At 41.7% G+C, this 22481-nt stretch overlaps 1 protein-coding gene across 1 annotated transcript in view, besides 1 other annotated feature; it reads left to right on the forward strand.

Annotated features, from left to right (window-relative positions):
* Nucleotides 1–6244: 6244 nt before the first annotated feature.
* The window catches only part of KIAA1217, an 853117-nt gene continuing 836880 nt past the window's right edge, over nucleotides 6245–22481 (forward strand). Inside the window, exon 1 of the mRNA NM_001098500.3 lies at nucleotides 6245–6752. The gene's annotated coding sequence lies outside the window, so the exon portion shown is untranslated. The remainder of the gene's footprint in view (nucleotides 6753–22481) is intronic.
* Nucleotides 14481–14530: an enhancer, noted in NCBI's record as "active region_3152". NCBI's record gives its function as "activates an Ori minimal core promoter by ATAC-STARR-seq in GM12878 lymphoblastoid cells {active_cell/tissue: GM12878}" and the evidence as "EXISTENCE:reporter gene assay evidence [ECO:0000049][PMID:35858748]".

A 22481-nucleotide genomic window follows, 5' to 3' on the forward strand; every position in this document is an offset into this window, starting at 1 on the left:
TAAGCAACTGCAAGTGAAGACATACATACCTAATGATTATGTTGGTGGATTGGATAATGTTTCAAATGATAACTTCCTCCAAGGTAAACTCCATGTGCTGTAAAAATCGATGGATTTTGTTCTGCCAGAGAGAAGCGGGAGAGTTAGGATTGCCGACTGCAGACTCAGCGCCTCTGCCAACATTTTGGCTCTGTGGCAGTTCTTTCTGAGAACTCTGCCTTAGGTATTTCTGAAGCAGTGTCAGAGGCATTTTTACTATATGGTGCTATATTCAATTAATTCAGAAGGATAAATATACAGCTTAAGACAATGGAATTTTTTTGACTGCCTAAGTCTCTGGCCAAGGTTTCTATTCTGGCACATTAAAATAACATGACCGCATCAGAAGCAAAACCCTAGGCAAAAAGCAGGGAAGCCAGGGAGCTCCCTCTTTTTAGGTAGTGGAATGGTGTGAGATTTTCAATTTTATGTACTGCCGTTCTTTCCACACTATTTATTTTCAGACGGCATGGGTATTTTGGATGTGTAACCTATCTGCTCAATGATTTCAGCTGCAGTACTAACTTCATTACTTCAACCTGGCACCTTTGTTGCAGCAAGAGACAAGTAGCGCTGCTTAGCACAAACCAAGAGTTTTTTTTTTTTTCCTTCTGTATTTTCAGGAATGCCTTTGCTCTCTTCTCTGAGTTTGAAAGTGAGAGGCAGTTCACTGTTTTTCCAACAAAGTCAAGGCTACTCTTCTGATTGCTGTTTAATCAGACAATGGAAACTCAGACAGCTTACAATGGTGGCCATTGGTAGTTACCACTGGTTAAAGCTTACATAATTGCCCCTAGGCCCTATGTTTCATGTGATAAATCTGTGATCATCCATAAAGTGGTTGGTTATCTAAATGTTGCAGTCTATAATTTGCAAGCTATCCTTTATGTGGGGGCAAATTATACATTGCCATCTTCTTGTTCAAGTTACTTCTCCTGGACAAAGATATCTTAACCATACTAAATGCTGGCTGGGTTTTTGGATGAAAAAGGCTGAAAAGATTACTTGGAACAGTTTGCAACATGAATACAACTTAAGTATCATCCTACCATTTCTGTATCTCAGAGGTAGGTGGGGATAAACTGCAGGTGCATCTCTTTGCCAGAATATATAGTAACATATTTTGGGAAGATTGTATAATGTAGTGCCCATTTTTACCATAGGTTTCATGAGATAATTATAAAGCACTAAAGCAAATCAGCATACTAGACTGGTTGAATATGCTAACATTCTAATTTTGTATAGAGGGTGATTACTGTTATTATTTATAGAGTGCAGTAAGTATATATAATGCTTTATAAACACGTAGGCAGACAAGGTGCCCAGAGGTGCCTAAATTCTAATTGCTTGAATTAGACATTTTAAATGAAAAAAAGCTACTCTGCAAAAGTGGAAAGAGACTAGGCATGAAATTGTGTTAAATAAGTGTTTTTGAAGAACTGAAGGATAAAAGCAACTGTTCTTTTAGATTTAGGTTGAAGTTGCTCCATAGAAGTCAAGAAGAACCAAAGTACTGTAACTAAAACCATCTAAAAACACTTCTTGAAACATTAAGAGAAATTCCAACTGGTTCCCATAAATTCAGTTCTCCCCTACTTGCCCAGGTCTAGGTCTGCATTCCAAGTTCCCAGAGCACAACTCACAGGGAGTTCACAAAAAAGGGGGGAAAAGATGACTGTGGGCTCTTTGAGTGGAGAGACCAAGTCTGATAGGTACAGACTTTCTAAATCCATTCTCTTGGCTAGGACTTTTCTTGACCCAGTAATGGGGAAAATGAAAACTTTGCAACTAGCGGCAGTGCTTTCACAGATAAGCAAATCTACATATAGAGGTACCCTTTATAAAAACACGTAACGATCTACCCTTTAAGGAAGCCCTTCTTAAAACTTGAACTGGAAACAACAATGAATTGTCCTTTTACTATTGATCATTAGGTTTGATAATGTCACAAAGATGTTCTTTGATGTCAGTGCAGTCCACTTAGGAAGAGTGTTCCATATATCACAAAAGATTCAGGGAATGGTCTATTGTAAGTTCCATACGAAAATCTATGATGAAGTACAGTTACCACATATAAACATATGTGTAAGTAAAATGTCCTTATTTCTAAATATAATAGCCGAGTCCAACTTTCATCACAAAATTATTGCTAATCTGTCATTATCCACAAAATAGTTGGTTATCTAAATGCTTCTTCATTAACATTTTAGTATGAAATTTAACTTGGCACTACCTTGGGAGTACTATTTATAAATGTATAATGTCAACTACTTGTTTTGGTTATGATATTTTTGAAATTTGAATTTATTGAGTTTATCAGTTTAGGCCTTCTTATCAGTTTAGGACTCCTTAAAAAGGAATTGGCCACTTCGATTTTTGTCTTCAGGGTTAACTCTATCTGATTAGAGGGCACTACACAAGCCGTTCAAATACAAAACTATTAATATATCATGAAGCATAAAATATTAAGAGCCAGCTCAAGTCCTGAGAGAAGTTACAGGCAAATGCCAGTGTTTTTTGCCAAATTTGCTATGCTCTGAAACAAGTGTTTAAAATGTTTTGATCATGTTTTCTTTATGATGAGCTATTTTAGCCCTCTTCTAAATGTCACTCTAGAAACATACCTACATAATTGAATAGATTTATTAAAATCATTTTGGCAATATTTTATAAGTGGTGTATATATATGTGTGTATCTCTGTCTATATACATATATATGCATATATGTATAGCTACATATACAAATACGTATATATAGGTATGCTATAAATATGTACAAGATTGGTGCTAACTGGTTTTCAGGGGCCTATAGGAAGGTAAGTCCTATGAGAAATAATTAATTTTTATTCTTATTCTTGTCTTTTTAAAATTTGCTTTTGTGTTACAGAAAATGAGAAGCTGCCTCCAGGATAGGGGGAGCTTGTTTTGCTGTGGAGATAGCTTCTAGAAGGACAGAATTATGATTCTCCATAGTTTTGCCAACATGTATTTGCTAGAGGGTTTGGCTTAGAAGCTTTAATGGCTATGGAGTATGTGATGAAAAGCCACTGCAGTATTAAAGTAGTTACCTTCCCACTCCAAGACCCTACTCTTTGACACCCAACAGAGCTATTCCTTCCTTGTAAACATGATGTTCTGGCTCCATAGCTATGGATTGATGTACGTGTGTGTGTGTGTGTGTGTGTGTGTGTGTGTGTGTGTGTGTGTGTGTGTGTGGCTAATTTTCTACCTGGTCCCTTTATTGTGCTTGACAATTGAACCACCTGGCCATAAGCGGCTTGTGTTTGAGAGCATAGTCATAAACATTGGCCTGTGGCCTGTTGGGCTATAATTGCAGTTGCTGGACTCTGACTCTCCTCACACTGATTAGGGCACAGTCCAGGGCACGTTGAGCTAACAGTGTTTCTGAACTCACCACCAACACATATACCCAACTTAAATGATGTGCTGCTTCCTAAGCAATGGGAAATATTTGTAATGTACTTTGAACAGTGCTTCTGAGGTCCAAACCCCCAAAATTTAAAACATGTACATGGTAATAGACCAATGCGAAAGAAATCTCACAGGTTAAGGGCAGCAAGTGATGTTTCTACGGACAGTTCAAATCCTCACTCAGATTGAGTCACTGTTTAGCCATTGGTAGTTACTGTTTTCAGAGTTCATTTTTTCCTCTCCTTTTCTTTCCCCTCTTTTTTCTCTTCTCTTCCCCTTTCCATCTTTTCAGTTTCATACATACATACATATGCATGTGTGCATGTGTATATACGTGCACATGTGTATATATGTGTAAATATGTGTATGTATATACACATTTGTTTCACATATATGCTATAGGGTTCAGCTTAAAACAGATTTTAAAATGTTATGTTATACTCTTTAAAAAATAATTCAGTCAACATATATTTATTAAGTGCCTGCTGTTTATACCAGGCACTGCACTGGGTCCTAAGAAAAGAAAAACAGAATTCCTGCCCTGGAGGAGCTTGTAAGTTGAGAAGGAAGGCAGACATACAAACAACCAATCACATCAGAAAGTAAAACAGTTGTTGTAGAGTTGTGAACAGAAGGCAGTGGGAAATAAGGAAGGAGGGCTTAGGCTTGCCACATCAAATAAGCATTACTTACTGTGGCATGTTAGCCAGGCTGATACCTGCTAATATGGCATCACTTACTTGCTGCATTGAACGCTTGGAACGAAAACTGTGACCCAACAAAGAAGGTTCCTGTGTACCAGCATAGCTGCCTCTTGACAATTTTGTTTTCAAATCATGCCTTTAATTTGTCAATGACTTGCCTATTCCCACACTATCAATCTGAATTAGCATTTTCAGGAACAGTGATTCCTACTGAAAAATTGCTGCTTTTGAAAGATGCAGAACGAGGAACTAGTTATGTAATTCCTTCATGATGTCAGGGTGCTTTCACATTTGCACGTTAAAAAATAGGACGGTTACAGTTGCAAGAAGCCCTCGGGGCAATGAATCTACAGCCTTCTCTAGTACTCCTTTGTTCTAATTAGGAACATGCTGGGCTGTACGTTACTTATTTTAATTATTCTATTTATTCGTGAAATCTAATGCATCGTTAAGGATATCCATAATTTTGTCTAATTAGCTAGAATTTGAATTTTCAAATGCGGGAGTGTTTAAGATCATTAAACCTAAGACAGTAGACTAGGATCTCAGGCTTGCTTCTATTCTGTTGAGCTTCCATTTGAGAATCAAGAGTGTTAATGAAACTTTCTGCTGCTTCATCCAGATCTGACTCTACTTCAGTAACTTTAAAAAGGTTGAAAAACAGTGTATGTGGATGGAGAATATTTTTGCCTCTTTTACTTGCCACTTCCCACTCTCTACCCTTTCCATTAAAAATATTTTAATGAATAAAAAGTCATCTTGGCGATTAAACAGTGTCTGGATTCAGGAAGCAAGACGCTCGCAGTTAAAAACCGTTGCCACTCGACGGTGGCAAAATTGCTGGCTGCACTGGAGATCACTGCAGAGCGCTCCTGATGCCTCGATGCTGACGGCGGATCTGGCGCGGGCTGGGGCGCATTGCACATTCTGCTCCAGCCGGGAGGCGGCGGGCGGGCAACTCCGGGTTGGTCACTCGGCAGCCGGCAGAGGTGCGCAGAAGGCGCACAGAACCAGGCACTCAGCCTCAAGGATGTCTGGGTCTCTGCTAAGGGACAAACGCTCCAGGAACAAGGAACAACCTCTAGCCATCCCAGCACCACCTAACGAACCTTCGTTTGGCTCTCTCGCAGAAAGTCTCTTCTATTTTTGGCCCCCAAGACAATTTCAGAGAACCAGTAAAGTTGGGTGACAACGTGGATCGCTTTCTAGTGTAAGGTCCCGGGGAATGGCAAAACTCAAATGTAGCCTCACTGATGAGCTCAAGGAACTCTGCTTGGAGTTGTCACCCCTACGACTGACCTCAGACCCAGGACCCAAGGGCGGGGCCCTCTTGCATCTGGAATCCAGCCTCGGCCTTGACCCCTTTCGCTTGTTCGGAGTGCTTTCGCCCAGCTTCTGGCGGAGGTTCACGCAGGGAGGGGACTCAGGTGGAAAAGGCTGGCCCCTTTGATCTCTTTGCAGGAACTTAGTAGACAGGGGCCCCGGGCTGGAGATTTGCTTCGAGTAGGCTAGAGGCGCCCTTGGCGCACCGAAGCTGGCTGCCTTGCTGGAACCTGCCGCGGGGGTGGAGGTTGAAAGGACTCTGAGCTCTTCTTCCCCAAGCCGAACTCCCTCCTACAGGAGCGTGGAAACCAACTCTCCCACACCGTCTATCCCACTCTTCCCCCCTAAACCTCTAGCGCAGCTTTTTAAAGGCATCCTGTGCAGCCTCCAACTTTGGGGAAAGAGAATGCCCAACTCCCGCTCTCCAACTACCCGTACTGCCTTCTTCCTTTTCCTGCGGTCGCCTCCAAACTCTGCTTCCCTGGTATCCCCGCCCCGACCTGGAAGCGAGCGCCCCCGGCTGCTCGCGGCAGCCCCTCGGCGCCCGTTTGCAGGGAGCGAGCTCTGGCTCCTCACAGGATCCAGACGCGGTTCCCATCCGTCCCCAGCCCTGCAGGGCACACGCGCGCGTGCACACGCACGCGCTTACACTCCAGCTCACACTCGCGCGTCCTCACTCCCTGCACCCCACCCTCCGCGCCGCTCCTCCGCGGGGTGGGGGGTGGTGGGGGTGACGTCAGGACTGCAGTCCAGAAGAGAGCGGCTGGAGAGGGCTGCGCGCTTCTCGCCAAGCAAGCGGGAGGCGCACTGGGGCCGCCGCCGTTCCCGCGCTCCTCCCTCTCCTCTGCACCCACTGTCACGCTACCCGCCCGCGGGGGAGCCTCGAGAGCCTCCAGGTGAATTGAAAGTCGTTTCCGGGGGAGGACGGAGAGGGTGCTGCAGTCCTGGCATGCCCTGAAACTGCAAGTCGGGCAGAAACGACCCGGCGGAGGAGCAGGGCGCGCAGCGCCCTGCGCAGCATCCCCGGGCTGCCAGAAGAGGCCACCACTCGGCTGGCAGCCGCGAGCGGCGGCCGAACCTCGGCCCCAGACTCGGGCCCCCGGCACGCTCGCCCGGGAGATACCCCTTCCCCCTCTTGCGCATTTCGCAGCTGCGCTGGTGTGGGGCATGAGAGCGAGGTGGCTCCAGGTCTCCGCGGAGCAGCTGCCAGTGGGAGAGCGAGGAGAGGCGAGGGGGCGGCAGCCTCGGCCCGAAGTAAGTGCAGCAGAAGTTTGCGTCGGTTGCCCCGCCGCTCCCCCAGCGCGAGTGGGAGGCACATCTCCCCTCCTTGGATAAGGAAACCGAGGGGAGACTTACAAGGGAGCCTTGCGCGGGAGAGCAAGTGAGCGTTTCGAGAGAGGGCAAGGACCCCCCCAGGAGGGCCAGGCCGGGAGGGGTCCCGGTGCGGTGATGGGGTGCCAAAAGGAGAAGACCCCCAACTGGGAGGAGGGACTGGAGAGGAACCGGACCCCGGGGATCTCAGAAAGGGAAGGATGTGGGGAGAGTGAAGGTGGAGGCAGTCACACCTATCCTGGTGACCTTGGCGTGCCCCCCTGGAGTGGCGAGCCAGGGGCTTATATAGGTGCGACTAGGATGTTGCCTCGTTTTTCACTCGGGGCTGCGAAGAGGGCATTGCTCTTTCTGATGGCTGGAAGACAGGGGCAAGGAGAGAGAGAACCGGCCCCGAGACGGGCTGGAGGGTGGGGACACTGGGGAGTTTGGAGCTGGGGGTTCGGAGTGGGAGGTTTGGGTCTTCTGAGACGCTCCAGACTCTCCGGAGGCGGCAGAGGTCGAGGCAGGAGGCGAATGTGACGCTTAGGGTCGCTACGGTTGATGTTGGGCGCCTTTGGAAGCTGGTCATTAATTCTTGTCATCGGGAGGTTTCGCGGAGGGCGACAGCGCCCGGGAGCAGGGTGACCCCCACAGCGGCCGGCCTTCCGGCTGGCTGCCCTCCCCGCTCGCCGCTCTCCCCGCGCCGCTGCGGGTCCTCCGAGACCCCGGACTGTCCTGAGCTGCTTCGAGGGCGGGCGAGACCCTGTCTGTTCAAAAGAGACCCTCGAGACCCTCGACATTCTGCTCACTTCTTTTCGGGGGCATGTTTAGCTCTTTTGGGCTCTCTCCTTCCTAATGGGATTCTCCCAAGGAGGTTTTCTTCTTTAACTGACCCTACTTCTCATAGGGGAAAAAAGTTCTTGGAATCTGCCCTCGTCCTAGGGTCAGAGCCCTGCAGAGGGCAGGCGAGGACGGCGTGGGCCAGCTCGCCTACCCTGCTCTCACCTGGGGAGGGTTCTCAGGAATTTGATATTAAATTTGATGAAACGATCCTAGGAAAGTGGCTAAGGCATCTTCTCCGAGAGTAGGAGTTTCTGTGCTTCGGGAATGGAAATCCCACTTAGCTTCTGATACCAAGTCTACACTTCGGAGAGAGAGGGAGATAGTTAATTAAAAACTGATTCAATTGAGTTGAAGACAAAAGTCATTTGTAATGCATCCTGGTCACCCAATTTCACTCCATCCCTCCCATACACTTTATGGGGCCCAACTATGTATGTGCCAGACATTGTGCTAGATGCTCCTGCAACAGAGATGATTCATGTGTGGTCTCAGCACTTTGGGAGCTTACAGTCTGTGCTAGAAGTGGTTTGGAAAGAAGGTGAAGATGCTTGCTCTACAGGGAAGGGCAGGTGCTACCTGGTTTTAACCACAATGACTCACACTCGCAGCCCATTAAGTGTATGGACAAATATTTGCAAGACGGTATCCTCCTTGAAGGCGGGATACTGTCATTCATCTTTGATTCCCAGAGACCACCACTGCACCTGCACATAGTAGGTCATCAGCAAGTACTGTTAAATGAATAAATGAATGCATGAATTATGCATAGTTAAAAGTAACCTAACGAAAACTGTCATGCTAGGGGAACATGTCAAGAAGAGACTGAAATAAAGGGAATTGGAGAAGGCAAGAGGGAAGAGAAAATAAGGTTCATGAACGTTCGAAAGTGTATATCCTTAAACAAGTGTTTGTTTTCTATCTTTATGCAATGGAAATTACCAGCACCCATCTCCGTTCTCTATGAAATACGTGCATCTCTGAACACTTAGATTGTAAATGCCATTTTTAGAGCAGAGTCTCTGTTAACTTACCATGCAGAGATCACAATACCCTTCTCATGTGGCTGTGTTGATAATAAGATGATTGGAATGTGTCTAGGTAGTGAGGCAGATGGGTGAAAAATACTTTAGGATTATAAGAATTCCTTCACGTATCTAATAATATTTTGCTACTAATGTATGAATTTATACCCTTGTGCTTTAAACGTACTTCATTTAAACCTCATTAAAATATGCATATATTGATTTTACTAGTGAAGATTAAACACATATATGGAAGACTTTCCTTGGTTTTATTAATTGAGCCCAAGTTACTATTGCAGTACGGTAGAAGGTGATAAATTCCAAGGTGAGTAATAAGGATTCCATCCCCCTCCACCCCCTGCCAAATTTAGTTTCATTATTCATTATTTCAGAAAACTAAGGCTTCATAGTTTTTTAAAAGTGCACAACAAGGCCAGTCACAGTGGCTCACTCCTGTAATCCTAGCACTGTGGGATGCTGAGGTGGGCAGATCGCTTGAGCTCTGGAGTTTAAGACCAGCTTAGGCAACATGGCAAAACTTGTCTCTACTAAAAATACAAAAAAAAAAAAAATTAGCTGGCATGGTGATGTGCACCTGTGATCCCAGCTACTTGGCAAGCTGAGGTGGGAAGATCGCTTGAGCCCAGGAGGTCAAGGCTGCAGTGAGCTGAGATCGTGCCACTGCACTCCAGCCTGGTTGACAAAGTGAGACCCTGTCTCAAAAAAAAAAAAAAGTGTACAACAAAACTACTTACTTTTGCACTCCTTTTTCAGTGTTTATCAATGATAATTATAACTCAGTAATTTGAGTCAAGAGTTTATAGGCATTAATACTGGTTTTAGTTTTTGGAAACTTTTCAGTGCTATGTGATTTGGGGCAATTTGTAGAATATTTGTAAATTTTATTTTCTCTACTTACAAAATGAGATTATTGTAATTACATGATTTAATTAGGCACTGAAAATCAAAATATGTTGATGTAGAGCATTGCTTTGTTTGGGGCTTTGTATTCTGTAGTTAATGTCATTAATTTAGTATACCAACACTGAGAAGCAATTTGTAATTTGTGAATAGGAAAAAAATAGTATATTTTCCATTATTGAGTATCTTGCAGATATTTAAGACATCAGAGCTCTAGGAAGAGTATTGTGATTGTGGATAATTTATGGTGGCTTAAAATTTATATTGTAGAAGTAAATGTAAAGAAATACTAAAAATGGTAGCTAAATGTTGGAATTCTTTAACCAAACATTGAGATGTTTCTTCTGTGGTAGATCTTTGATTTGGATTATTTCCAGAACTGCACTGTTAGATCAAATGACAATTTGAGTGAGTCTTGAAATTTGGCAAGAAGCACACTCTAGGAGGCAGAAGTTTATTTTGGAAATTTAGTTAAGGGACAGAAATGCTGAGGTTATAGGAATGTGGGGTCGTAGATTACCGAGTTTAGAAAATATCTGGCCTCATTTTGCAGATGAGAAAACTGGAGCCAAAATAGTGAAGGGTCTGCATTTCCCAGGATCACACTCAAATGCATGAGTCCCTTATGTTGTCGACCGTAGGCTTAAGAGAAAAATCACACATTCAGGATACCTAAATCCAGGGGCAGTCTAACGGATCGGCTATCCTATTTTTTTTTCCTTTTTGAGACAGGGTCTTGCTCTATCGTCCAAGCTAGAGTACAGTGGCATGATCTCTGCTTACTGTAGCCTCAACCTCCTGGGCTCAAGCAATCCTCCGATCTCAGCCTCCCAAGTAGCTAGGACTGCAAGTGTACACCACCGTGCCTGGCTACTTTTTGTAGGCACAGCCTCCTGCCTCAGACTCCCAAAGTGCTGGGCTTACAGGCATGAGCCACTGCACCTGGCTGGGTCTGCTATCCTTGAATTTGTCTTTTCTCTCATTCTCTCTGGCTCACACCGTCCAGTTGCTCCCATCTCTGAGAGCGGTCTCCCATGCCAACCCCCTACTTTCACTGCTCCTTCTGCCTGATCAGGTCCTTCTGAGGACAGGGCAGCAAAGGACTTGGTTGGGGTCCTGTGGCTCCCAGTTTCAGACACGGGCCTGGTCCTAGGCAGAGCTGTGAAGTCAGTGAAGCTTGGACTGGGTGTTCCCCACATCTTCTTTCCTACATGTGGACACCAATGTACATCAAAGAATCACAGTTTCAGACACAGAAGGGACTGCGAAGACCATCTGGTTCATTTTAGAGATGAGGGAACTTGGGCCCAGAAAACGTTCTGTAGTTTTCATGACACAGCCATGGTCAGGATCTCCTGGGTGGTATTGGTGCTCCTTTTGACTGCTTGTGCTCTCTTCTCCATTGGATGGTGCTTGCATCTGATCACTCCATAAAGTGAGCATGTGGACTCTGGAAGGAGGCACCTGTGTCAAGTTCCAACCCTGTCTCTCCCCACCTATGCAACTATGGGCAAATTACTGAAGTTGTCCAATACTTCCCTTTCTTTTTCTTTTCCTTTTTTTTAGAGACTGGGTTTCTCTTTGTCACCCAGGCTGGAGTGCACCATTTCAATCATAGCTCACTGCAGCCTCGAACTCTTGGGCTCAAGTGATCCTCACACCTTGGCCTCCCAAAGTGCTGGGATTACAGGCATGAGCCACTGTGCCCAGCCATTGCTTTCTTTATTAATAATTTTTTATTTGTTTTGTTTTATAGCTTAATATAATTGCTTTTCCTCCAGATCGTAAGTTTTAAGAAGGGAAGGAACCAAGTGTTTCTTGCTCACTACAGGTCTAAGACCTAGCATACTGTTTGGCACACAATGGACACTTGATGAAAATTTGTTGAATAAAGGAGTAAATGAATAAAAGAATGAGTGAGTGAAGTATGCATCACTTAGATAGAACTGGAATCTTAATCATGAGAGCCACAGCCTTCTAAAGATTCTAACTGTGAAGTACTGTTTCCTTTGCTAACATTACTTTATGGATAGACGTGACCCTAATATGCCTGCTCCCTGCTTCTCTCACTTATTCCTTCTCTCAGTAAGTGGCAGCCCCATTTTTGTCATTACTTGAGCCAAAAACCTCGGAGTCATCCTCTTACAGAAAGCATTCAACCCATTAACCAATCCTGCAGCTAGGCCTTCATTATGTAATCCCAATCTGACCAGTTATCACCACATCCCTTCCTGGCAGCCGAGACCAAGCTGCAGTCATATCCCTGAATTATTGCAGTGACTTCCCAACCTCTCTCTGCTTCCATCCTTGTACCACCCCCAAAGTCTAGATTCCATACACAGCCACAGCAATACTACTAACACATAAGGCAAATAATGTGACTCCTCTGCTTAAATTTTATAATATTTTCCCATTTCTCTCATAGTAAAAAAAAAAAAGCCCTTACAATTACAAATAAGATTCTACATGATCTACCTGCTCTGACTTTCTGATTTCTCTACAACTTCCCTCTTTAATCACCATGCTTCCACCACATTGCCATCTTCCTGTTCCAATAACACACCACACTTGCTGTCATCTAAGTAACTTTGAACTTATCTTTGAACTTCTCCAGATAACCTGCTTGACTTCTCCACTTCCTTCAAATGTTTTCTCAAGTTCATCTTTTCAATAAGGTCTTTCTTGGCTACACTATTTTAAATTACATCCATCTAACTTTCTATCCTTTTTTGCACTAATTTCCCTTTTAGCTCTTTGGCTATAAGAAATTCCATACATTTGATTCACTTCCATCTTTTGTTTCTCTCCCCTACTAGAAGGTAAACTCCATAAAGGAAGAGATTTTTTTTTTCTGTTTTGCTCATTTCTGAATCCCTAGTGGCTAGAACAATTCCTGCCACATAGAAGGTAGTCTGTAAATATTTCTTGAATAAATAAATGGGAATAAAATAGTACCTATATCATAGAGTCTTGTTATGATTAAATGAAACCATGCACATTGAGTGTTTAGCACAGCGTCTGGCACTTGGTACATGTTTATTTAGTATAAGACATTATTATTATGGTGTCATCTCAGTTCTCCTGGCCTTTTAGTCCCTCTTCTGGCCAGAATTGTGGTCAGAGGCAGAACTCTTCTAGAATCCCTAATACTATTTTTGGAAATGACTTTGAAGAAGTCCCAATGGCTGTTTACATCTGCTGCTGAAGATAAGTAGGAAATAAATGCATTTATCTCTCCAAGATATGGCATAATCCTTTCCGTGAAATACTTTCTGTCTTAGGGATGCTGGAAGGTTGCGGTTGTGCCTTTCATCCTCAGGGTGAGAGAGCCACATTCTCTCATGTCCATGCAAGTCGTCCTCAAATGGGTTGGCCACCTGTCTTGGTTTTTCACAACTTTCCTGTCTCTCACTTTTGGGTTTGCCTCTTGCTGGTCTTAACATAGCTGTTCTCACTGATGGCCTCCTGAACCAGCAAAGTTTAGCTGGAGGAGTTATGAGGTCGTATCAATTAACCAATGAAGCATTACATGAACAACAAAAACTAATAATAAAATGACCCCTGTAAAGCCCTCCCTAGGGCTAGTAATAGCCTGTATAAATAGCCTAAATAAATACTTCTTACTTGCTTAATAATAGCCTGTAGCTGTTTAAATGCCCTGTTGTCTGGGTTGATAGGATATTTTCACAGCTTTACCAGGACATTGTGAGCAGATATTGCGTGTACGTGTTAAAGTTTAGTACCTTATTACATTTATGTATAAATTAGCATACTATACAGATCGTAATTCCTACTAGCTCAAAGCAGTCAAATTTTAGAAGTTGACTCCACAAATAGCACCTTCAGTCCTGAGTGTTTACAATGGTTTTGCTTTACCAGAGAAAAATGTCATGTTGTGCCCATTTTTCATGCTAGAAATAGAAAGAGAGCCTTGGGTTTAGTACTTGTAGGTTACCAGGTCTTTTCTTAGCCTGCTCCATGACCTTGTCCAATTTCCATTAGATTACAGTGGCTTTTCTGGAGCCAGGAAAAGTTACTACAGCAGCAAAAATGGGGCCAACAACCTTAAAGTGCAGCATATCTATGAGAAATTCATTTTATTGTAACTGTAAAAGAGATGCAGACAGTACAGTTCTTTAGGGAAGAGGGAGAGAAGAGAAGTGAACAGAGAACTTGGGGTGGGTGGGAGGAATTTGGACTCCAGTTATAATCATACAATGAGACAATGAAATGAAAGAGGGAGTGACTTTCTAAGGGGTACACATTATTTTTTCTTTTGCCTAGTTCATAAACACATTTTATTCTGAACACTCTTCATAAGTAGGTTGTTGGGAAGTATTTTCTAATAGAAACAACATTATATGTGGAATGTAGGTTTCCAGCTGCCTTGGGGAAACCTATTTAATTTATGGCTGAGCATTCAAAAATAATACTATAGTTTGCTTTTTCATATGGGAAAATGAGTCTTAATTTGTAATTAATAAAATCTTAATTGCCATCATGTTACACCATGAAGATTCAGGTTGGGCATTTTTGTAAGTAATCTCTTCCTTGACTCCTTGCTAGTTTACTTAACAGAACAGGAGAATACACACACACACACACACACACACACACACACACACACACACAAATATATTGTATTTTGTTGTGTATGATACATATATAAAACATACTTATATAATCACTCTACTGAACAGACAATATCGAATCCACTTTATTTGCTACTTAAAAATTAACATAAATAATATTAAGTTAATAAAATGTAGCCTCCGGAGTAGCTGGGACTACAGGTGCATGCCACCTCGCCCGGTAATTTTTTGTATTTTTAGTAGAGACGGGGTTTCACCGTGTTAGCCAAGATGGTCTGGATCTCCTGACCTTGTGATCCGCCCGCCTCGGCCTCCCAAAGCGCTTCTGGTTGCCTTTTTTTGCCCTCTGTATTCTGGTCCCTCGGGCTCCTTGATGCAAAGTGTGACCAGCCCTCCCCCTAGTGGCGATTAGAACATCTTCCCTCCATGCCCTGGTTAATGCCAGGAACTTGTTTTCACCTGCTATAGTCCTGGCATGTGGGCTGGGCGCTTCTCCTTCTCAGCAGTCTCCAGAGATCGGGAGTGGAGACCCTCCTGGCGGTCACCTATATGTATAGAGCAGAGAGATGTCCCAGCAAAGAAAGTGCAGTGTGGGAGTGGTGGAGGGAGGATCAGAGAGACACTTTGAGTCTGAAGTTTCTTTTCTTTGCAAGAACGGGACATTGCCCTATGTACTTCCTGATCTGCACCTAGCTTTATACCATGGCGTCCCATCTGCAAATTCCCTGTGGACTAAAAATCTGATTGTAGGTTTCTTCCCTGTTCTCTGATTTCTGAAAAGTACAAAGACGACAAGATTTTCGGAAGGTTTTTATTTGAGATACGCTGGCTCTCTGCAGGGGGAAAAAAGCCCTGATTTGAACTGTTTGCCAATTTCTGTATCGTAAATATTTCTGCTGTGGCCAATTACAACATGACATCAACTGACTTAAAAAGTCTTAAAAACTTAACAGTTGGCTCTCGTGAATATGTACAAACTGGTCCCCATACTGCACTGTTTTCACGGCTAACAATGATGTAAAAGAAAGGGTATGTTTTCCTCTTATTCTTTCTCCTCCTCCTCCTCCCCTTTTCTTCTTGGTAAATGTAGAGAAAATAAAAGGTATAGATCAGGGGGTCAGCAAACTTGTTGTATAAAGGCCCAGAGAGCAAACATATTTTAGACTTTGCAGTCCGCACTGATTTTTGTCACATACTCTTTTTTATTTTTTAAAAAGTCCTTTGAAAATGTAAAAACTGCATTTTTGTTTTTGTATTGCCAAAGAGCAATACAAAAACAAAAACAGGTTGAGAGTTAGATTGGGTTTGTGGATCTTCATTTGCTGATCCTTGGAATAGAACATCAGGGTGGGTCTTTGGAAACCGAGGACTGGTGTAATATATACAATATACTATATATATATACACAATATATATGTGTGTATGTACTTTGTATTATGCACACACATACACATATATGCATGTATGTGTGTGTGTATGTGTGTGTGTGTGTGTGTGTGTGTGTATATATATATATATATATATATATATATATATATATATAGTGAGCTCAGTGGTAAATAAGGAGAAATATGACCCCAGGGCTTCTTTTTTTCTTTCCTTTCTTTTTTAAAAAACAGCTTTATTGAGATATAATTCTTATAGTGTACAATTCATCCATTTAAAGAGTATAGTTGCATTTTTAAAAACAAATTTATAAGGTCATGCAACTACCACCACTATCTAATTTTGGAACATTTTCATCTCCCCTAAAAGAAACTCCCCTACCCAGTAGTTGCGGTTCCCTTCTTACCTTCCAGCCTGTCAGCCCCTGAAAACTGCTCATCTACTTTCTGTTTCTATGGATTTGCTGATTTTGGACATTTCATGTATATGGAATCATAACAGTATTTATCCTTTTGTGATTGGCTTCTTTCACTCTGCGTAATGTTTTAACTGTTCATCTGTGTTGTTGCATGTGTCATTAATTCCTTTCTTTTTATTGCCAAATAAAAGTTCATTGTATGGATATACCACATTTTATTGTCCATTTATCAGTTTATGGACATCTAGGTTGCTTCCAATGTTTGGCTATTATGAATAATGCTGCTATAAAGACTAAAATACAAGTCTTTTTATGGGTATATGTCTGTATTTCTCCTGGATAGACCCCTAGTAGTGGAGTTATTGGGTGATATGATAACTATGTTTAGCATTTTAAAGAACTGTCAAACTGGTTTCCAGAGCAGCTGCATCATCTTACATTCTTGCTGTCAATATGAGGGTTCCATTTTCCTCACATCTTTGCCAATACTTAACTCTTTTTTTGAGGATAGTCATCTTTCTGGATTTGAAATGGTATCTTGTGGTTTTGACTTGCATTTCGCTAATGACTAATGAGGTTAGGTATCTTTTCATGTGCTTATTGGACATTTGCATATCTTCTTTGGAGAAATGTCTATTCAAATTCATTGTCAACTTTTAAATTGGTTTGTCTTTTTATTATTGAGTGAGTTGTTAAGTGTTCTTTATTTTAGGTACAAGTTTCTTGCAAATATTTTCTCTCTTCCTGTAGGTTTTCTTTTCAGTTTCCTGATGGTTTATTTTGCAACACAAAAGTTTTAATATGTTGATGAAGTACAATTATCTGTTTTTTTTCTTTTGTTGCTTGTGCAACAAATGCAGATTCATTAAGATTTATTCCTGTGTTTTCTTCTAAAAGTTTTGTAATTTTAGCTCTCTTAATTTGTCTACATTTTATTTTAAGTAAAGATTTTTGTATATGGTGTGAGGAAGGGATTCAACTTTATTTTTATGCATGTGGATATTCAATTGTCCCAGCAACATTTGTGAAAAGTAATCAAATTTTCTTGACAGCCTTGTTGAAATCAATTGACCATAAATGTGAGGGTTTATTTATGGGGTCTTAATGTTATTTTATTGATCTGTATGTTCATTTTTATGCCAGTACCACATTATCTTGGATACTGTAGCTTTGAAATAAGTTTTTAAATTGGAAATTGTGAGTTATTCAACTTTGTTCTTATTTTTTAAGATTGTTTTGGCTATCTCAGTACTTGAGTTTCCACATACATTTTAGGGCCTGCTTATCAATTTCTGTGAAAAAGAAAAAAATAAACAGAGAGACAGCGCCAGCTGGGGTTGTGGTAGGAATGGTGTTTAGTCTATAGATCAATTTGGGAAGTAATGTCATCTTAACAATATCAATTCATTTGATACATGAGCATGGTATGGCTTTCCATTTATTAAGGTCTTAATTTTTTTCAACATTGTTGCATAGTTTTAAGAGTATACATTTTACATAAATTTTGTTAAATTGATTTTTAAGTATTTTATTTTAAATGTTGTTGTAAATGGAATTGTTTGCTTAATTTGATTTTTGAATTGTTCATTGCTAGTATATGAAAACACAATTGCTTTTTTTTATATTGGTCTTGTGCTCTGCAACCTTGCTAAACAAATTTATTTGTTTTAATAGCTTTTTGGTAGATTTTTAAAGGATTTTCTCTATGCATGATCATGTCATCTGTGAATAGACAGTTTTATTTATTTCTTTCTAATCTAGATGTGTTTTTCTACCTCCCTCCCTTTTTTACTTCCTTGCCTAATTGTCCTCGCTAGGTCCTGTAATACAATGTTAAACAGAAGTAGCACAGGTGGACATCCTTGTCTTGTTCTGGATCTTAGAAGTAAAAGCACCCAGTCTTTCACCATTAAGTATAATGCTAGCTGTAGGTTTTCCACAAATACACTTTATCAGGTTGAGGAAGTTCTCTTTCTCTTCCTACTTTGTTGAGTGTTTCTATCATGAAATGGTATTGGATTTTTTGAAATGCTTTTTCTGTATCCATTAAGATGATTATTTGATTTTTATTCTTTATTATATTAATATTACATATTAACTAATTTTTGATACTAAACCAACCTTGCATTCTTGGGATAAATTCTACTTGATTATGTTGTACAATCCTTTTCATATGTTGCTGGACTTAGTTTGTTGAGAATTTTTGTCTATATTCATAAGAGATATTGGTCTGTAATTTTCTTGTGATATTTTTGTCTGGTTTGAGTGTCAGGATAAAAGTGACTTTCTCCTTCTATTTTTCATTCTTAACACTGCTGTTCAGGCACTTTTGGGACATGTAAGATGAAGGGAAGAGAAGGAAGTCTAGGGCTGATAGTGAGTTCCAGTCAGCAGTATGGAAGAGGGGAGGAAAACCCTAAATAGATTCTATAGTGGGCCAAAGATTCTTGGCTGCCACATGGACACCAGGCGGGGACCTGTTATTGGGTATATCCTATGTAAAGAATGTGTCCTGTTCTGTTCTTTTTATACACATATTCATTCAGAATATTTATTGATCACCAGCTGCTATCTAATAAGAAGTAAACTTATTACCAAAAAGTTTAAATAGACCTGACTCCTGTCCTATGAGAACATATAGGTTAAAGGGGTAGGAAGACACAATAGAATAATTACAAACTAAATGTAAAATTACAGCTATGATTTGTATGATGAAGGGAAGATTCCTGGTGCTGTGAGAGCATATAATATAGGGGTTTGGTCTGGTGTTCTGGCGGTGGGAATAACATACCCCAAGGCCCTGCTTTAGGAAGAAGTGAAGGAAGGCCAGTGCTGGGGGAACACAGAGAGCAGGAGGAAGGGAAATAATGGGAAGGAGAAAGTAAAAAGAACCAGGCTACCTGCGGCCTGGAAGTCTGGTGATAGGCCCATGTCATTATCCTCAGAGCAGTGTGTTTTCACTTTTAAAATGTCTGTTTCTGAAGAACTGGGGGCCATTGCCTAAATGAAATAACCCAGAAACAGAAAGTCAAATACTACACTTATAAGTGGGAGCGAAACAATGGCCACATACAGGGTGGAATAGTAGACACTGGAGGCTCCAAAAGGTGAGAAAATGGGAGGGTGTGAGGGTTGAAAAATTACCTGTTAGATACAATGTTCACTATTTGGGAGATGTGTCCACTGAAAGTCCGGACTTTACCACTACACAATATATCCTTGTAAGAAAACTGCATTTGTACCTCCTAAATCTCTAAAATAAAAATTTTTTTAAAGGCAAAAATTAAAATGTCCTTGTCTGGATTCACCAGTTTTATTTTGGTTTCAGGTTTTCCTTCAAGAAGGAAATGTCATTCACGATTTCTGCTCTTTCCATTCCAGTTCTTTACATTTTTGAGACTCAAAGTGGAGGCAAGAGAGAAATGGAATTGAATGAAGGATTTGAAAATTGCTTTCAAAAGGCTGGTCACAGAGGGAAGGAAGGGAGAAAAGCAGGGTGTATTAGTCCATTTTCATGCTGCTGATAAAGACATACCTGAGACTGGATAATTTATAAAGAAAAATAAGTTTAATGGACTTACAGTTCAATGTGGCTGGGGAGGCCTCACAATCATGGCAGAAGACAAAAGGTACCTCTTACATGGCAGCAGACAAGAGAGAATGAGAGCCAAGTGAAAGGGGCTTCCCCTATAAAATCAGATCTCATGGGACTTACTTATTCACTACCACGAGAACAGTATGGGGGAAACCACCTCCGTGATTCCATTATCTCCTACCAGGTCCCTCCCACAACATGTGGGAATTATGGGAGCTGCAATTCAAGATGAGATTTGGGTGTGCTCATAGCCAAACCCTATTACAGGGTTAAGTTTATTGAACAGCAGCAGAAGGAGGGTACACACATCTGTCTGGTCCAATCCCCTAATTTTACAGGTGGATGCCCTGAGGCTCAGAAGCACTGGGTGACATCCTGGCTCACAGAGCTTGAGGTGGCAGAGCCAGAGAGGGAGCCTCAGCTTCCTGGCTTCCTTTTGAGTGCTCTTTCCTCTGACCCTCACTCTTCCCCAAGCTGAGCTCTGAAGGACAGGAAGAGAGAGGGCAAGATGCCAAGTAGAGGAGGCCCAATATGTACAGGCCTTGAGGCAGTCCTTGCGGAAGGCCACTGTGGTTGGAACAAGGTGAGTGAACAGAAGATGGTGAGAAATGCAGTGGAAAAGTTAGGCAGGGCCTTAACTCCTCAAAGAGGAGTGCAGATTTATTCTAAGGATGGTATGAGGCGTTTTAAAGGGGGACTAATGCAAAAAACATATATGGATGAAGAAGATGACTCTTCCTAGTTCATGGAGAATGGATTAATGGGGCCAGACAGAGGTGGAGAGTTGAGGTAGGAGTCTGTGGAAGGTGAAGTGGTGAGAAGTGGACAGACTAGAGCTTTGTTTTGGAGTTCAGATTGCCAGGACTTCCACATCACCTTTAAGGCATTTGTAAGAATTCCAAGAGGAAGGTGGCTATGCCTAGGCTGGAGAAAAAGGGCAGTGTGGATCCTCCTCTAGGCAGTTGGGTTATTCTAGAAGCAGATGTGTTGGCTCTTTCTGAAGCTCTGGAAAAGTATAAAGTTTTCTGTTGCGGTGTTCATGGCTTACCCTCCAGATGTTTTGACTGGCCGTTGCCCCACCAGCCTGCGGCCACTTGACACTTTGGATATCTCCTCTCAGGTATTCGGCTATAGCAGTAGTGGAGGAAAATTCTCCAAGAAATAAAAACTTTCAGGTGGGTGCGGTGGCTCACACTGGTAATCCCAGCACTTTGGGAGGCCGAGGTGGGCGGATCACTTGAGTCTAGGTGTTTAAGACCAGCCTGGGCAAGATAGCAAGACCTCGTCTTTATAAAATAGTTTTTTAAAAATTAGCCAGGCACGGTGGTTACACACCTGTGGTCCCAGGTACTCAGGAGGCTAAGGTGGGAGGATTCCTTGAGCCCAGGAGGATGAGGCTGCAGTGTGCAGAGAGCATGCCACTGCACTTCAGCATGAGTGACAAAGCAATACCCTGTCTCCAAAAAAGAAAAAAAAAAAATAAAGAAATAGAAACTTCCTTTCATCCGAATGCCCCTCCTTCTTTCCTAATGGAAAAATGGTTACCTATTCTTCAAAGCCTTCCTCAGATATTAAGCTTTACTATGAAACTATGAAGACTTGTGTTTATACACAATTATATGGCATTAATTATGCTCATCTAACCCTTTTTACTATGCCTGTATGGTCCTTATTACACCTAAACTGTTATCATTTTTTCTGTTTAACTCGGAGATACAAAGCCTAGAGAGATGAAGTAACTCACCCAAGGTCACAGGCAGTTGGGGCCCACAGTCTGAAAGCTTAGCCATTGTGCCATGTTGTCACTAGCTGGGAGCTCTCTGGGCAGCATTACTGATTTTCTCTTGCTTTCAACACAACTCTGTTATGTCGCACTTTCCCTATTATGTGAAGAGTTAATTATCTGATTTTCTTCTCTGGTTGAGAGTGAGCAAATTGAAGGTAGGAACTGTGTGTTACTTACTTTCATATTCCAGTGTTGGATGGATAACGGATGCAAAGTGAGTGAATGAATGACTAAAGAACATGAATGAATGAAGGGATGACTCAGAGAATAACTGAGAAAATAGAGTGGCAGGTGTGGGACGGGGCCTTCTGTTACCTTATGCAGACTGCACTTTTTCTAGGCCGAGGAGTCCCTGAGCTGCATTACAATTCAGGCCAGTGTAATTTCTGGCTTTACCATCACATAGTTTAAAATTTTCCATTAATCCTTTGGTGTGTTCTAATCAAATAATGCTGTTCTCAGTTAAACAGTTGAAGAAGCTCCCATTCTGGCAGGTATTATACTCTTTAACACAGTTGCTCTGTTGTCACCAAGGACACTTCTGCATCTGATATTGATTTAAATCTTCAGTTATGAAGGTCTTGAAGATGACTTTGTAGATAATGAAGATTGTATTGGCTCAAGAAACTGTAACAATGGAAAGAATATAGTGCATACTTGTTCATCCAATCTGAGAAACAGAGTAGCCTTATTGATAAGCAATTTACAAAGCATTTTGTTCTATGCTGATACAAAGTTGAAACATAGTGGGTGTTCTATTTGGTGTCAAGTGTTGAAAGTATTTTTGGAAAATTCATTATATTTTGGAGACAGTTCAAGTTGTGTTGAACTTTTACTCAAATAAAGATTTATATAGCTGTGCCTTGATTTTGAAAAATTTGTTTTATCAAAATCTGAATTGCAGAATAGATACATCAGAAACAAATGCCATTACAAAATAATCTCCAGGTAGCTCATCAAATACCTATGGAATGGGTACAATGAGTATAGGGAACCGGGTCACCATCTATCCTTCTTATTCTCTAGGGTCTGATCAATAAAGCAAACCAATGAAGCAAGATTGCTAGCCAGATAGAAAATGAAAAGAGTGATTTTGCTTTGTAGAGTCC

Source organism: Homo sapiens, chromosome 10, assembly GCF_000001405.40.
Source record: "Homo sapiens chromosome 10, GRCh38.p14 Primary Assembly".
Taxonomy (NCBI): Eukaryota; Metazoa; Chordata; class Mammalia; order Primates; family Hominidae; genus Homo; species Homo sapiens.